The 16,884-nt window shown below is 39.9% G+C and overlaps 2 protein-coding genes across 11 annotated transcripts in view, besides 6 other annotated features; one reads left to right on the top strand and one right to left on the bottom strand.

Annotated features, from left to right (window-relative positions):
- The window catches only part of DTL (denticleless E3 ubiquitin protein ligase adapter), a 69,266-nt gene extending 60,860 nt beyond the window's left edge, over window positions 1–8,406 (bottom strand). For 2 of the 4 annotated variants that reach the window (NM_001286230.2, NM_001286229.2), the window contains exon 1: window positions 8,212–8,406. In NM_001286230.2, the coding sequence (NP_001273159.2) occupies window positions 8,212–8,263 (52 nt within the window). In that variant the 5' untranslated portion in view covers window positions 8,264–8,406. Of the gene's footprint in view, window positions 1–1,035; window positions 1,162–8,088; window positions 8,184–8,211 lie in introns of those variants that run through there. The other 2 variants (NM_016448.4, XM_011509614.2) reach the window with 2 other exon arrangements.
- Window positions 7,587–8,121: an enhancer, noted in NCBI's record as "NANOG-H3K27ac-H3K4me1 hESC enhancer chr1:212209375-212209909 (GRCh37/hg19 assembly coordinates)". NCBI's record gives its function as "activates a minimal SCP1, AML or CMV promoter by ChIP-STARR-seq in naive H9 embryonic stem cells {active_cell/tissue: H9 hESC(naive)}" and the evidence as "EXISTENCE:reporter gene assay evidence [ECO:0000049][PMID:30033119]".
- Window positions 8,122–8,658: an enhancer, noted in NCBI's record as "NANOG-H3K27ac-H3K4me1 hESC enhancer chr1:212208838-212209374 (GRCh37/hg19 assembly coordinates)". NCBI's record gives its function as "activates a minimal SCP1, AML or CMV promoter by ChIP-STARR-seq in primed H9 embryonic stem cells {active_cell/tissue: H9 hESC(primed)}" and the evidence as "EXISTENCE:reporter gene assay evidence [ECO:0000049][PMID:30033119]".
- Window positions 8,122–8,746: a biological region, named in NCBI's record as "NANOG-H3K27ac-H3K4me1 hESC enhancer GRCh37_chr1:212208838-212209374".
- Window positions 8,137–8,376: an enhancer, noted in NCBI's record as "active region_2497". NCBI's record gives its function as "activates an Ori minimal core promoter by ATAC-STARR-seq in GM12878 lymphoblastoid cells {active_cell/tissue: GM12878}" and the evidence as "EXISTENCE:reporter gene assay evidence [ECO:0000049][PMID:35858748]".
- Window positions 8,537–8,746: an enhancer, noted in NCBI's record as "active region_2496". NCBI's record gives its function as "activates an Ori minimal core promoter by ATAC-STARR-seq in GM12878 lymphoblastoid cells {active_cell/tissue: GM12878}" and the evidence as "EXISTENCE:reporter gene assay evidence [ECO:0000049][PMID:35858748]".
- Window positions 8,597–16,884, top strand: part of INTS7 (integrator complex subunit 7) — a 95,155-nt gene continuing 86,867 nt past the window's right edge. For all 7 annotated transcript variants that reach the window (NR_037667.2, NM_001199809.2, XM_047417179.1 and 4 more), the window contains exon 1: window positions 8,597–8,810. Coding sequence is in view for 6 of the 7 variants with exons in the window: in NM_001199809.2 (NP_001186738.1) it covers window positions 8,717–8,810 (94 nt within the window). In the remaining variant the exon portion in view is untranslated. The remainder of the gene's footprint in view (window positions 8,811–16,884) is intronic.
- Window positions 13,304–13,353: an enhancer, noted in NCBI's record as "active region_2495". NCBI's record gives its function as "activates an Ori minimal core promoter by ATAC-STARR-seq in GM12878 lymphoblastoid cells {active_cell/tissue: GM12878}" and the evidence as "EXISTENCE:reporter gene assay evidence [ECO:0000049][PMID:35858748]".

The raw sequence follows: 16,884 nt of genomic DNA, 5'->3' as shown, positions 1-16,884 counted from the left end.
TTAACCATATTTTTATTTACTTATTTTTACCACAATCATGACTATGTAATAGTCTATTAGTTTTTGAGAGACAGTCTCGCTATGTCACCTAGGCAGGAATGCAGTGGCGTGATCTCAGCTCACTGCAACTTCCGCCTCCCAGGTTCAAGCGATTCTCTTGCATCAGCCTCCCCAGTAGCTGGGACTACAGGCATGCACCACCATGCCCGGCTAATTTTTATAAGGAGTCTATTAGTTTTAAATTTCCTTGTCACAACTTTTTCTTTCCTCTCAAACTATTATGGGTGGAGACAAATACTTCTATTTCTTTTTTTTTTTTTTTTTTGGAGATGAAGTCTCACTGTCACCCAGGCTAGAATGCAATGGCACGATCTTGGCTCACTGCAACCTCTGCCTCTCAGGTTCAAGTGAGTCTCTTGTCTCAGCATCCCAAGTAGCTGGGATTACAGGGGTGCGCCACCACGCCCAGCTGATTTTTTGCAATTTTAGTAGAGATGGGATTTCACCATGTTGGCCAGGCTGCCTTGAACTCCTGACCTCAAGTGATCCACCCGCCTTGGCCTCCCAAAGTTCGGGGATTACAAGTGTGAGCCACTGTGCCCAGACCTACCTTGGCGTCCTAAAGTGCTGGGATTTTAGGTGTGAGCCACTGAGCCTGGCTGAAGTACTTCTATTTCTGTTCATATATTCCCCAATGAGTCACAGAAAGATACATTCAACCAGATCAAAGGGTATGTATCTACTGGATAAAACAGTTTTCATAGTAGCTGAACCTTTGCAACCCCTTCCTTATATTGATTTTTTAAAAATAGTGCTATAATAGTCCTATGCTTTAGAGGAAATATAGTTATGCTAATGATGTATAGAGATTAAGAAAAGTCTATTTTATAAATCAGAAGATAACAGTTTTTACAAAAACTCTAACATCCACCTAATTTACTTTTCTTTGAAAGGGAAATACTCTAGTATATTTTCCCTATAAGTGTGAAATAGATCATTTCTGTCCAAGCCTTGCCTAGATAGTAATTCTCTTACCAGAAGAGAAGGTACATCCAAAAGGAGGAACTGGGACTCCTGTTTCTCCATAAGAAGTGTGTTCATCATTACCACTGCACTGATAACCAGTCAGAAGGGATTGAAGAGGGTATTGTGAAGACCATCCTAAAACAAGATAATTCCTTATAGAATTCCAATACAGCATCACATTTCAGCATTTTTAACAAATTCAGAGGTAAATATTTGTCCTTAAGAAACTTTAGATATTAACATAGATCCACTTACTATTAATATCTATGGAAGACACCATTTCTGTTATTTCATTAAGGAGTCCTAAGGAAAAAATGAAAGAGCACTTCCAACTTCTGGGGAGGTATAGCTTTGGGCTTACTATCTAAAATGGAGACTCTCACTAGTACATTGAGATTAGAAGAAACAAGAGGCCTCTGCATATTAAGAAAGATCTTCCCCCTTCTCCTACCAAAGAGACAACCACAAAAGCATTCCATTAAAACTGCTATCCCCTTCAATTAAATTCTTATTCCAGAACATCATACAAAATCCAATGGTCAAAGAGCCAAAGAAAATAATATGTCAATGCAGCTACTATAGCCAGTAACATATTCACCAAATTTACTTCTGTTTTCCTTTAGTGCTGAAATTGTAGGAATCTAAAATGTCAATAGCAGCAATTATAGTACCTTAAATTATATTAGAGAAATTGTAAAGTGAAGTGTTATGTACCTACCCCTAGAAAACATTTAATTAGCCCTGGCTAGTGGTAGTGGGTCAGGGAGTCTTTACAGGAGGTCTTGAAAGATGGGTAAATTTTCACTGAATTTAGAACAGAGAACAAGAGACTCAGGGTAGAAGAAAAGTTTATTCTGCTTGGGTCAGAGGTCTAATGTGCACTATGCTCCTACATAGTAAAGACATCTTCAGAGATTTGTTTTTATTATACTGATTTGTGATCAAGACATTTTAAATATATAAAATAAACATTCATTCAACAAGTAATTACTGAAAACCAAATGTTCAATAAGCATTGGAGGAAACACTGAGTTTACAATCTATTGAAAGCATCTTAAATAATTAACAAACTCACATTTTAGGGTACTCTGAATCCTCACTTTTCATCAAAAGTACTATGTGGAGAATACATCTTAGCCTGACATAACCTCAGACAAATCTACATTTGGATGTTCATAGACATAATCTGAATGAATCAACAGAAGGGCACCAAAGAAATTTAATCCAAATTTAATTAGTTCTGGGGCCATCACGTCATAATTTCAGCATCACATATCATTGTAAAGGAGCTGTTAAAGACCACTAAAAGAATGCAATAGGCCGGGCGCGGTCTCTCACACCTGTAATCCCAGCACTTCGGGAGGCAGAGGCAGGCGGACCACGAGGTCAGGAGATCGAGACCATCCTGGCTAACACGGTGAAACCCCGTCTCTACTAAAAATACATAAAAAAAAAATTAGCCAGGCGTGGTGGCAGGCGCCTGTAGTCCCAGCTACTCGGAGGCTGAGGCAGGAGAATAGAGTGAACCTGGGAGGCGGAGCGTGCCGCGAGCTGAGACCTCGCCACTGCACTCCAGCCTGGGCAACACAGCGACACTCCGTCCCCACCCCCCACCCCCCCGCCAAAAATGCAATAGTTATGTTGAGGTCACAAGTATTAACCTACGGAATAAGTGTGTAAAAACAAAAGCCTCTGTTCAAAGGTTATGTAAATATACACGTTTTGGAATTAAAAAAAAAAATCAACTGCAAAATAAAAACTCAAAAGGGACTTTTGAACAACTTGGTTGAAATGAAGATGATACACTCCAAAAAACCTACAATTTTTTACAATTAAACAATGACTCTTTAACTCTGCCTCACTGCCTATAATTAACATCCAAACACCAATGAATGGTGAGTGATTGGTCCTTGCCTACCCCTCTACTTATGCAATCCCTGCAATACACACTTCACTGATGAACCACCCTAAGCTACTTTTGGATCCTTATTGTGTTATGAACATGAAACTGTAATGCTTTCCTCCACAACACATTTGGAAAAAGCTATTATTTCCTCATTGTACAACTTAAGCCCCTGGAGTTACATGCACATATTCCAAGTAGTATACAAGAACATGAGAGTTTTCAGAGACTCAATTTCCAGATACAGTAGTTACCCCTCACCCGTGGTTTCGCTTTTTGTGGTTTCAGTTGCCTATAGTCAACAACGGTCTGAAACTATTAAACTGAAAATTCCAGAAATAAACAATTCATGTTTTAAATTGTGTGCCATTTTGAGTGGCAAGAAAATTTCACACTGTCCTACCCTGACCTGTCCAGGATATGAATCATCCCTGTGTCCAGAGTAGCAGTGCCATAGACGTTACCTGCTCTTTAGTCACTTAGCTGCTGTGTCTGTCACATAGTTGGGAGTAGTAGCCTAATGTTATATCACATAGAAGCTGCTTTGTCTGTCACATAGTTGGAAGTAGTAGCCTAATGTTATATCACAGTGCCTGCCTACGTCATTCATCTCACTTCATCTCTTCATGTTGTAGGTATTATATCATCTCACATCATCATGAGAAGGGCAAGTATATAGCACCATGAGATATTCCGAGAGGCCACCTTCACATAACTTTTATTACAGAATATCGTTATAATTGTTCTATGTTATTATTAGTTATTGTTAATCTCTTACTGTGCCTAAACTTAATCATAGGTATGTGTCTGTATAGTAAAAAACACAGCATACATAGGGTTGGGTCTTGGAACATATCCTTCAAGGATAAGGAGGTACTACTGTACTCAACTACGATATACAGTCATATGCCATGTAATGGCATTTTGGCCAAAGACAGACCGCATACACAATGGTAGTCTTACAACATTATAATGGAGCTTAAAAATTCCTATTGTGTCTTAGTTTTTAACAAAAGGTTTGAAAAGTTAAGAAAAGAAAAACATTTAAAATAAAAAAACTTATAGAATAAGAATATGAAGAAATAAAATATTTTGTACAATTATACAATGTGTCTGTGCTTTATGCTACCTGTTACCACAAGGGTCAAAAAGTTAAAAAATTTAAGATGTTTGTAAGTTTAAAAGTTACAGTAAGCTAAGGTTAATTTATTATTGAAGAAAGTATTTTTTAATCAATTTAATGCAGCCTAAGTATAGAGTGTTTATAAAGTCTACAGTAGTATAATGTCCCAGGTCTTCGTGCTGACTGACTACTCACTCACTGATTCACTCACAGCAACCCCCAGTCCTGCAAGCTCCCATTCATAGTAAGCACCCTCCACAGGTGTTACCATTTTTTATCTTTTATATCCTATTTTTACTGAACCTTTTCTATGTTTAAATACACAAATACTTACCATTGTGTTACAGTTGCCTACGGTATTCAATACAGTAATATGCTACACAGGTTTATAGCCTAGGAAAAATATATAGCTTAGGTGTGTAGTAGTTACACTATCTAGCTTTGTGTTTATACTCTGTGATGTTTGCACAATGATAAAATCACCTAATGATGCATTTCTCAAAATGTTATCTCCATTTATAAGCAATTGGATGACTATATACGCATTTCTAAAACTCACCTGTCTGAAAAACCTGATGTCTCTGAGAAGGTTGAGGTACCACTTTTTCCCTTTCCCTTCATCACTTCCTTTCTTCCACTTTATAAAAGAAAGGCATTCCCGTGCCCCAATCTTAAACCTTGCACTGATCCAAAGAATAAAAACTTTTGGGTATCAAATATTTTTAAATAAAAACAAATAAACTGGTGGAACCTTAACTAAGAGATAATTAAATAATTCCTTCAATAAAGGGACCATAAACACCCAAATTCATCTCTTTAAAAAGATGGACTTCCAATAAAATTTTACTTTTGGTTAATAATTATCAAAATTGGTAATCTATATTGTTTTAATCAATCATATAGTACTAATAATTGAATTGAAAATTCAATCCATAAAGAAGTTTTAATACTTGGAGGCTTATGACAGAAAACAGCAATTTAAACACATTTTTTGACACAGAAGGGTATGACAGAGTGATCAGTAAAAGAGCTTTTCAAGCATAAAATTAAATTACATTAGGAGAAATTCTGTAGGAGAAATGAAATGGAAATAAATTCAAGAGGAAAAAGCAGCTATATGGAATGTCCAGCAGATAAAGAGGAGTTTGTATTTTTCTAAAAAATGGATGATGTGATTATCAAATCACTATAGTATTTAAATTATATTAGATACACTTAAAGGAGTGATATAGCATTTTTATTTTTAAAATGTCAATATTCCCAATATGGTCAGAAATTATATTCTTTGCATTTGTTTAAGTTTATAATAAAAACTTTTAGATATCAATTTAAAAATACACAGAAGAGTAATCAGATTTCCATTTTAGAAGGATCATTAGCAGCAATGTGGAGAATAAACCGAAGACAGACAAACTAGGAGGCCATCTGGGAGACTTCTTACAATCCAGACAAGAAGGCATTAGGGCCCAACCTAGGGAAATGGAATAGTAAAAATAGAACACATCCAGCATACAGTAAAGATGCATAATCATAACAGATAAAGAAGAGAGGATGGATTCAAGAGATTTTAACGAAATGTTTTGAATGTGTAACTGTGAGGAAGATGAAGAAGTCTTTAATTTACTCAGGTTTCTGGCAGGTTTAAATAATGAGGCCACTCTCTAAAATTGGTAATATTGCAGGTTTGGGGGAAAAGCTGAGTTCAGTTTTGGGTATTTGAGTTTGAGATGCTTGTGGGATTGACCGTCTAGGTGCTAATCAACCCACACAGCTTTTATAGAAATGAATCTCAGGTACAGGAAGTCTTCCAATAACATAATTTTGTACAATGTCATTTCGTTATACTGTTCATGAGGAAAAAATCAATTCCTGTTTGAGGCCATTGGCCGTGTGGAGTTTGTACATGCTCTTCCCATGTTCATAGGGGTTTTCTCCAGGTACTCTGGTTTCCTCCCACATGCCAAAGATGTGTATGTTAGGTTCACTGGTGTGTCTACATGGTCCCAGTAGACAATGAGTGTGTGTGAGTGCTTCCTGTGATGAAATAGTGTCTGGTCTAGAGCTGGTTTCCACCTTGTACCATGAGCTGCCAGGATAGGCTCCGGGCACCCACAGCCCTGAGCTGGAATAAGTGTGTCAGAAAATGAATGAATACAAATCATTGTAAAATAAAAATGGGTAAACTTTACAATAATCATACAAATGAATGACAATAAACGATTTGGTATGAAAGGGCTCAGTGAGCTGCCATATTTGTGATTGTTTTTGACCTGGGTGGTGGTAGGAGGTGCTCCTTCCAATTTTCACTTTGCAAACATTTATTCCTTGATTTAGCCCACCACCACTATGACCGAGGTCACTCGCTGATACACCAAAACTTGGATAATTATCTCACCTGTTTTTATTAATCTTTCTCAAATATATGTATAGCACACAATTATTTCAACATTTAATATTAAAAGTACTTTGAGTCTTTCTTTAGAAGTTCGGTGGTGTTTGTGTGACCAAAATATGCCACTGAAACAATTCTTATTTATATCAAGTAGCCTATGGTAGAGTTAGTTTAGTTATACACTGTTTTCCCTAAAGTCACAGTTTCCAAGAGCCTATCTAGACATTAAGTGAGGACTTACTATATAAGTAACAGAAGGTTGTATGTATGTAGAAGTGGAAGAAGCCCTGGTTGTGGCTGTGATCATCCAAAGGAGTAGGTAGAAGAAGAAAAGGGGTCAAGGATGGAACACCAACACTGAAGAGGAAAGGAGATGATTCTATAGATTTCATATAATAACGAATGAATTTCAGTGACTATTATGTAACAACGAATGAGTACTTGAGAATAGGAAAGAGGGAAGGGAAAGGTAAACACATGGAGAATTAGGAGAAAATCTGTCACAAAATAGAGGCTGAACAGCTCCCCCAGAACACACATATAGTAAGGTGTGGAAGTATAATAAAACCCAGGCAGTTTAACTTCAAAGACAGAGTTCTTAGCCACTGTGCGTACTGTCACTCTTAAACAGAGGACAAAGAAGTTACTCAAACAAGGTCCCAGGAGAGACAGAAAGAGGAGCATTTAAGTATAATTACAAAGATTATCTAAGAGGGAAATAAATAAGGATGGTATAAAGTTTCAGACTGCTAGCAGGAAGTTGAGGGACTACTTCTCAGTCTCTTTCTCAATATTATTTTCCTAGACTCATCGCTGAATATAAAAATTCCCTTCTCAGGTTCGTTTTCCACATAGTTTCAAGGGGAAAAAGAACCTCTGGCTATAGTCGACCTTCACATGAGTGAGATTTTATTTCTGTCCAAGGTTAATCTGGGTAGTTAGCTCCCTTATCTGAAACTTACCAAAAAGTTTAAGTTGATGACATCCAAATCTAACCTCAAATCTCTTATTGCCAATGTTTTAGCGTAAGAAAATAAGTTAGATTTCTACGTATTAACATGGGAATACGTTCAACTTATACCATTAAAGTGAAAAAACTGGACGTTTTGATCCGATTTCTGAAAATAATAGGTATTACCTCTAGCGTCGAAAACATCTGGAATAATATACTTCAATCTATTAACAGGGGTCATCTCTGGCGGATGTGGTTACAGGCATCTTTCACTCTATAATTTAAATTTTTATGACCGTGTAGTAAACGGGGAAAATAAGATTTTGTTCCTGTTAGAAGCAGATATCCTGTCTTCTCTGCTTGACTGAGTTCCTTAACAGCGGGTCATATTCACTGGTATATACCTATAGCACATAGCTGGGCTCACTAAGATTCTACAACAAACGAATGAATTAATCAATGATTAGGAGTTTTGAGCATCTCAAATAACCGTTGAAGGAAACATATACACACAAATGCATGCATTTTCCCGTTAACGCGCAATGGAGATGTAAGCTGTAAGGGGCCTTGGAAGGCAGTTATTTCGACGTCCCTGCCTACGTTACGATTTTAAAAGCCCGATTACGATTACAAGTGTCCCGAGGGGATGAAAGTACAGCTTTCTTTAGTAGTCCCTGCTAACACTAATTTACCCTTGCCATGGGAGAACTCAGAAGCTGAGTTCAGAATTGGAGTCGGCCCTGGTCGGAGGTGGCGTGTGTTTCGGGGGAAATGAATTCCGCCAGCTCCGAGCAGCGGTTGGGACCGTTACTCACCATTTCTCAGGACGCCAAGCTGGGGCTGGCGGAGCACCGAATTGAAGAGCATCAGGGTCGGAGGAAAAGCCTCAGCTGAGAGAAAAGTCGTAGAAATGCCTCCAAGTTCAGCAGAAATCGCAGCTTGCGCCTCTCACAACACAAATCGTTATCGCCTCCAACTCCCGCCACTGTAAGCCCCGGCCGCCAAACTCCGCGCCAAACTGACGTCACGCTCTCTGATTGGCTTCCGAGCGACGTCCGGGCGCCTCAGAGTCATTTCCCCCTTCGGATCCCCGCCTCCTTTTCTCCCAGCCGCGGGAACCTGGAGTCCAAGAGCTCCTTGAGCGCCTGCGCAGGGGGTAGCAGAGGCGCGGACAAACCGCGGGGTGACCAGGGCGCATGCGTAACAGGGCTTGACAGCGCGCGGAAGAAAAACCAGCAAGAAGGCGGCGGGGGAAGATGGCGGTCCTGGGGTAGAGTTTGCAAGCTTTCTGACTAGGCTAGTCGAGTAACTATTCGGGTCATGGCGTCAAACTCAACTAAGTCTTTCCTGGCAGATGCCGGCTATGGCGAACAGGAACTGGATGCCAACTCTGCCCTTATGGAATTGGACAAAGGTATTCGAAAGAGAGGGCTGAATGGGTGAAACAGGCGTGGGGGGAAGTGGCGCCACCAGGTGGTGGTTGCTTTGGGAGAAGACGGATAGGCGCATGCGCATGTCTTCGCTGGGCGGGGAGCGCCTGTGCTTTTGCTGGGGCGTGGGCTTTGACCCCTTCGGGAGGTTGCGGGAAATTTGCAGGATTGTGTGACTGGCCTTATACCGGCTAAACAAGTAGCGAGCTCTAGTGAGAGGCCCGTTTTGACCACTTGAGGGAGCAGTCCCCCGATTTTCTAAGCAGTGACAGTGGCTAGTTTCTAAGAGACACTGCAAAGAAATTGTGAAATTGGTTTTCAGTCTGTTCAGTTGAGACCAGGTCTTCATGAAATGTGCTGAATAGTAATCTTGCACCGACTTGACAGCGATTCATTTGATTTCCATAGCTCTGTTACCTGCGGGTTACAAGGCAGGCTAAACCTGGCCAAGACCATAAAAAAGCAAGGGCCCTGCTCATTCTCTGCGGACAAGTTCCAGGAGTTCTGTTGCCGTACAGGGAGCAGCTTGGTGTAGAGGGAGCTTTGGGGTTACACTGAGTTAAGTTTCAATGCCGCTGATTTTATGATTAACTTCATCTAGCCTCGGCTTGTCGTCTGCAAAGTGGGTACAGTACCATTGAGCCGGCAGAATTGTATTAAGTGACTTAATGGTATGCAAAAGAAGCATTTAGTAAATGCTGAAGAGATATACCTCCCTTCTTAGATGTGGATATGGGAGGCAAGGTCGGAAATTTGTTAGTAAAGAACTCGACTAGTAATATGAAACCTTTATTTCATATTGAGGATTTTTATTGTACGGGAAACATTTCGGCAGCTGGTATACAATTAAATCTTGATTAATCGTAGCCAATATATAATGTTGGAGAACTGGACTAGAACTCAGAAGGGTTTGAGCCACTTCCCAGTTTTCTGAGTTGGACATGTCTATTAACTTTTTTGGGACTCTTTTTCTGTTTATTTTTTAAACTGTGAATATTTTTAGTGGGTTAGTCTAAATAAGAGTTTCTCAGGCTCTTAAAAAAGCTTTTACCTTATTTTGATAAACACAAAAATTTCACAGCCCCCTAATGGGATATTCCTTTGGTTGAGTCTCAGTATCTTTAGTGCACCCCCATCAACCAAGAAAATTATGTTGAACTTTTCCTTCTCTTACCAAATCTTTAGGGGTTTTCTCCTCTGAAAAAAAAAAGTATAATACTAAATGTGTTTTTCTCTTTTTTTTTGGAGACAGAGTGTTGCTCTGTTGCCCAGGCTAGAGTGCAGTGGCGCCATCTCGGCTCACTGCAACCTCCGCCTCCCGAGTTCAAACGGTTCTCCTGCCTCAGCCTCCCGAGTAGCTGGAATTACAGGCGCCCGCCACCACGCCCGGCTAATTTTTGTATTTTTAGTATAGACGGGGTTTCACCATGTTGGCCAGGCTGGTCTCCAACTCCTGACCTCAGGTGATCCGTCCGCCTCGGCCTTCCAAAGTGCTGGGATTTACAGGCATGAGCCACCGCGCCCGGCCTTAAATGTGTTTTTCAAACACTTTCCTCCTCATTCTGATACATTTCTTTCTTATTCCTCAGTGAAAGTTACAGGTCAGGATAATATCTAATATCCCTACGAGTTCTAAGGACATTTTCTACCATTCTGGTGCAGCTGAGCTTGTCTCATGCTGACAATAGGATAGTGGTTGTGGAACAGGGATAAAGATGGGGCACTGAAGAGGAGTCTAGAATGGTTTAATTCCTCAAATTTTGCAGTTGTAAGAAAAAAACCACAATTTTTCCTTTTTAAAGAAGAGTTGAAATGAAAATATTTTATATCTATAGGAAAGAAATCAGGTGTCAATCTTAGACACAGAGTAAGTGATCATTTGCACTCCTCCCAGCAATGCCTGGCGTGAGTGTTTTACAGGTGAATCTCAGGCTCAGAAAGATGACTTGTTCTTTTTCATCTCATCTGTAGTAACTTTTAAAGCTGTTAGGAAATTAAGTTATAGAAATAGCCAGTTTCGTGTAGAATATAGTTGAGTATTTTAAATATTGAGTCATTTCATCTTGTACCTGTTAAAGTATTTCTGTTTTGTGAGCTAAAGGTCAGAAGGCTACAAGTTCCAACTCTTTTTTTCGTTCCCAAACTCCAAGGAATACTGTTTCTGAAATATCTCCCCCACCTCAGCATACACACTCAGACACATGACTTATTTGATCGGGCTTTGTACTAGGAACATGGCAGTTAATGAGACAAAACTCCTGCCCCTATAGAGCTTACATTCTAGACAGCAGATGCAGACACTCCGCAAATATAGCAAACGTGACAGTTAGTGATACATATTATAAAGGAAAATGAAGCAATGAAAGGGACTGGAGAAAACTGATCTGGGGCTGGAGTTGATTTCTTATTTTATGAAGTATAGGCAAGAAAGACCTCCTCAATCAAGTGGAAGAACAGCAAGTACAAAGGCCCTGAGGTAGAAGCCTCCTTTGCATGCAGTTATCTGGAGCAAAGTAATAGGCAATGAGTATAGAAAGATAACCAGAGTCAGTCGGGCGTGGTGGTTCACGCCTGTAATCCCCGCACTTTGGGAAGCTGAGGCGGGCGGATCACGAAGTCAGGAGATCGAGACCATCCTGGCTAACATGGTGAAACCCTGTCTCTACTAAACAAAATACAAAAAATTAGCCAGGCGTGGTGGTGGGCACCTGTAGTTCCAGCTACTTGGGAGGCTGAGGCAGGAGAATGGCGTGAACCTGGGAGGCGGGGCTTCCAGTGAGCCGAGATCACACCACTGCACTCCAGTCTGGGCAACAGAGCAAGACTGTCTCGAAAAAAAAAAAAGAAAGATAACCAGAGTCCCGTTCAGGTAGGGCCGTGCAAGCCATCAAAAGGACTGGCTTTCATTCTGAGTGAGAAAGGAAACCATGGAGGATTTTCAGCAGGTGTGTGACATGATCTGACTTTCCTTTGAAAAGTATCAGTCTGGCTACTGTGCTGAGAATAGACTGAAGTGGGGAGGGTCAGGGACCCAAGTAGGGAGACCAATGAGAAGGCAACTATAACAATCCAGGGAAAAGAAAATAGTGGCTTAGACCGAGATGGTGACACTGAAAATGTGTGAAGTGCTGAGATTCTGGATATACTTTCAAAGTAGAGCCAAGAAGATTTGCTAATGGATTAGATGAGGATATAAGAGTAAGTGGTCAAGAAAACTTAGAGGTTTTTGGTATGAGCTACTGGGAGGATGTATGTATTGTTTACTGAAATCAAATCAGTTTGGGTCATGTTAAATTTGAGATGTCTCTTAGACATCCAAATGGAGATGATTAGTCAGTTAGGCATAAGATGTAACCTTTGAACGCTATTTTAAAGAAATATTTTGTGGCACTGGTGTCCTTAGAAACACACTCAGGAAATGCTGCCATTCATAACCTGTTATATATTTATAACTGTTGTACTTTATTCTGAGCCTTTTGAGCAAGCATTGGCAGTAAGCTGATTGTTTCTGATCTCTATAGGAATAAGTGAATACTATTTTGAAGCTGACTCAATTCCATTACTTTAGGATGTAGTTAGTAACAGGAAAATCATCCTTCATGTGATAGCCATTCATTTACTCAACAGATATTTACTGACCACCTGCATTGTCTCAGGCTCTATACTCAGACTAGGGGCTATGTTGGCAAACAAGACATCTTTAAGGAGATTGCATACAAATGTAAGGAGATGGACAATGCTAGATCAAATGTGGTGCCGTTAGTCAGGACAAGAAGTTGGATTTTGTGCAGAGTGCAATGGGAAGGCATTGAAAGTTGTAGGCTGATGGCCATGCTGCTTGAGCTTCTGTAAGACTGAGCATACACAAGCAGAGTTAAGTGTCATAATCAAATACATTACAGCTTATGTTTATCTGACACATTTCATGATATGATCATTACTATACATAATTGGCAATATAAAGGATGCATCTCACAAAAATTAGTGTAACTTTTTCACTAATATAATTTCTTAGTCTAAACATTTTTAGATCAGCTGATGGAAGGTTATCCTGATGATTTGGGAAAACTTATGCAAGATCTCCTTCCCCCTGGGAAAAGAGGAGTCTCTTAAATGATATTATTCAGCCTATCTGCCTTCTGCAATGTTGACCTTGGAAAGGATGAGATGAAAGCAATGGGGAAGAGAGCAGTGACTCATTCCCTTTCTTGCAGCTGATGCAATGGGAAGGGAGGAAATATAGAGGATAGATTTGTTACTAGAGGTGCTGGTGAATGTAATGCTGTGTGAAAAACCTTGATGGTGTGCTTAATGAAAAATTTAGTTATGAAATAGAGAAATGATGTGAATCAGGACAACTGTCTCTGCACTCTAATTTCCCCCTTAGACGGTGTCACCTCACCTGTATTCCAAAATACCTGAATTCTCAGACCATCAAGAAAGTTTGTCAAGAAAGACCACAGATTGCTTTTACATTATCGATATGGCTCAGATGTTGTTGGTGTTTCAGTAAACAAATATGAGGCCTTTGGGGAAGTATCTTCATAGGCCCTCCTCAAGAGAAAGGCCTCAGCAGCCAGATTTGTTCCAGGTGACTAATTCCATACCATAACTGATTGATTCAGAAGTAGGCATGTGACCCACACTGAGTCAAATTCTTTCTCCTGAGAATCTCTGCTGCCAGACCACACTTAGTCTGAGAGTGTTGAGAAGCGGACCTATAAAATCATATAGAATTAGGCCGGGCGCAGTGACTCACACCTGTCATCCCAGCACTTTGGGAGGCCGAGGCGGGCGGATCACCTGAGGTCAGGAGTTCGAGACCAGCCTGCCCAAGATGGTGAAATCCCATCTGTACTAAAAATACAAAAATTAGCCGGGGGTGGTAGCAGGCACCTGTAATCCCAGCTGCTCAGGAGGCTGAGACAGGAGAGTCACTTGAACCCAGGAGGCAGAGGTTGCAGTGAGCTGAGATCATGCCATTGCACTCCAGCCTGGGCGACAAGAATGAAACTCCATCTCAAAAAAAAAAAACAAAAAATCATGTAGAATTGAAGCTAAGGTGAGACTCTGGGCAACTTAATGCAACATAAAAACCAGCAGCCTGGTTGGTAATTCCTTGATGGGCTATGAACTAATCCAAAAATTCAAGTTTTTACTGAAACCCACAGACTCATTCTTATATATAACTAAGATTTACTGTCTTGGAATTTGCAAAGTGGGTTATTAAATATTCCTAGAAGTTGGTATCCATAAACTCAAATTTGTTTAGAATTCTAGATTAGTATTCTCATGTGCATACTGGATGATGTTGCATACATCTTGCCATGTACGTTTACAGACATTTTCTGAAATTTGGGGGATGGATGCTGCCTTATTAATGCATCATTAGTTTTCACTGTCATTTTACTTGTTTCTATTTCTGCTTTTTAAATATAAAAATGGGCTTTGCCATCAATTTTTTAAGCTGTGGGTTGTATGTTTGTGTTCATGTTTCTACCCATGTCCCCCCACACACCTTTTATTAATGTATAGATTTTAAGATATGTTCGTGTTATGGTTCAATTTTGAATCATCCTCATCTCTTAGCTAAAGCAAATGTATGTCACAAATTGTCCTAAATTGTGTTTGTTTGGTAATGCTTTATTTGTGGTGTTCTTTGTAGTGGATGTTAGTTATGTTGATGGTTGCTTAATATATTTTGAACACTCTTTTTATGCTTAAGGAATGTCCCATATCATGAACCTTGTCTTACTAAGGTAGAAGCAAAAACTTATTTCCTAGTTTCCCTTGCAAGAGTGCAGGATCTGACTTAGGCTCTGCCAGTCAGACACACCTCCTTCACACTGTCTGATTTAGAAGTTAGAGATGCAAGAAGGAAGAGTTGAAGTGTCCACTCACAGTTCTGCCATGGCAGCAGCAGTATTTCTAGCTTACAGCAGCAACAACAATGGCTACGATATTCCTAGATGACAGCAGAGCTAATTGTTGCATCTGGTGTTTCCTATCAAAGACAGGGTTCTTCCATCCAGTTGGTTGGGTAGTGTGGTATTAGGTGTTCCTAGAAATTTAGCCTTAAAATTGTTTCTTAAGCTTTTAATAAACTCATTTTCTGCCTCATAAGCCAGAGTTAGCTTCTGTTGCTTGCAGCTAAGAACTGCTGATAGATGCTACTTGGAGATTTGTGCTGTTTTGAAAACTTGATTAATGTGTATCCCAAACCCCAAGTTTACCATAATTTATGGTATTCCCCTAATTCCCTAGAATTCATCACCTCAGAATTCCACCATTTAATCACTAATTTAAATGTCTCATTCTTGAATCTTAATCTCTTTCTTTCTAGTTGCTTGCTAGAGATGCATTTTAGCATAGTGGTTAGCACTATAGCCTTTGGAGCTACATTGCCAGAATTTGAATCCCAGCTCTGTCATTTGTCAGCATTGTTGTTTCTTACGCAAATTGCTTAGCTTGTCTGTGCCTGTTTCCTCACCTTTCAAATGGGGAAAATAATGGTACCTAATTTATGTGATTTTTAGTGAGACTTTAATACATGCAAAGTGCTTAAAGTGACTGGCACAGAATAAGCACTTCATGTGTATCATCATTATCATTATGATTAACTGCTATTTTGGCTAGTCTTTATTTTCATTCAGACCTCGGTATTTCACCTCTCTACATTTCTGTACCTGTTTTACTTCTTTGTTCAGCTTAGATTTCATGGTCCTTCATTTTATTAACTGCATTTACTTTCTTACCAGTACTTTAAATTCACATCCAAGGTTCCATTCTACTCATGTATCCCCAAAGGCAGTCAAAAATTGCTGCAGAAAGTCATACAGTGGGGTACATGGCTATCATCATAAATGGGAGCCGAATCTACACTGACCTTCAACATGGACCTGCAGTACTGTAATGTTTCTGCAGTACTACTATGTTTCTTTGGTCAGACACTTCTACCTTCTTCAGTAAGATTTTAGATCTTTTACTTTTCTAAAACCAGAGATCCTGGGGTTTTATGTGAAGTATGATTTGTAAAACTTGACAGTGTGTTCGAAACCTTTAAAAACATTGTGCCAGATAAAAGCATTCTGAGGACCAAATTCAGCAGCCTAGTAGTTTTCTAACTCCAGTATAATCAGTGTGGGCAGGCTAGTTAAATAAGTTATCAAGTGGCAGAAGTTAACTTGAGAATCTAGGTGCTGGCTGGGCGCAGTGGCTCACGCCTGGAATCCTAGTACTTTGGGAGGCTGAGGCGGGAGGATCACCTGAGGTTGGGAGTTTGAGATTGGCCTGGCCAACATGGTGAAATCCTGTCTCTACTAAAAATATAAAACTTAGCCAGGTGTGATGGTGCACGCCTATAATCCCAGCTACTCGGCAGGCTGAGTCACAAGAATCACTTGAACCCGGGGGGCGGAGGTTGCAGTGAGCTGAGATTGCGCCACTGCACTCCAGCCTGGGCGGCAGAGTGAGACTGTCTCAAGAAAAAAAAAAGGAATCTCGATGCCAACCTTTTCAAAGTAGTTAAACAGATGCCTGGGACTCTGCCCCATATATTTAGTAGGTTTGGAGTAAAACCCATAGCATAGATATTTTTCAAAAACTTAGCAGATATTGCTGATGCAGAACCAAGCTGAAAACCACTAGCCTGGCAAAAAGCTCTGCACACTTTAAGTGCGAAATAATGTTAGAATAATGAATGCTTTACTACTGCCAAATGAATTTTGAATGAATAAATGATTTTACAGCCTATTTTAGTTTCCCTGGTCTACATGCATGTTGCAACTGAGTTAAGCACTGTTTAAGTCCAGGCACAGAAAAGGAAGAGAGATCTGTTTTTGTTTTTGTTTTTTTTTGGTGGAAGAATACAAAATAAAATGTAGGTATAGCAATCACATCCCTCCTTCTTAATCTTATCTCTGGGCTTACAGTAGTATTCTTATGATTAGTGGTCTTATGACCAGGGCATTCTTCCTGTAGCAAGCAATACAAATAAAATGTCTAGCCCCTCTTATACTAGAACTGGAACGTGCTGAGCTCCTGTTTTCCAGTGCTTAC

Source organism: Homo sapiens, chromosome 1 (genome assembly GCF_000001405.40).
Source record: "Homo sapiens chromosome 1, GRCh38.p14 Primary Assembly".
In the NCBI taxonomy this organism is placed as follows: Eukaryota; Metazoa; Chordata; class Mammalia; order Primates; family Hominidae; genus Homo; species Homo sapiens.
The sequence above is the reverse complement of the archived record's forward strand: the minus strand, read 5'-3'. Positions and strand labels throughout refer to the sequence as shown.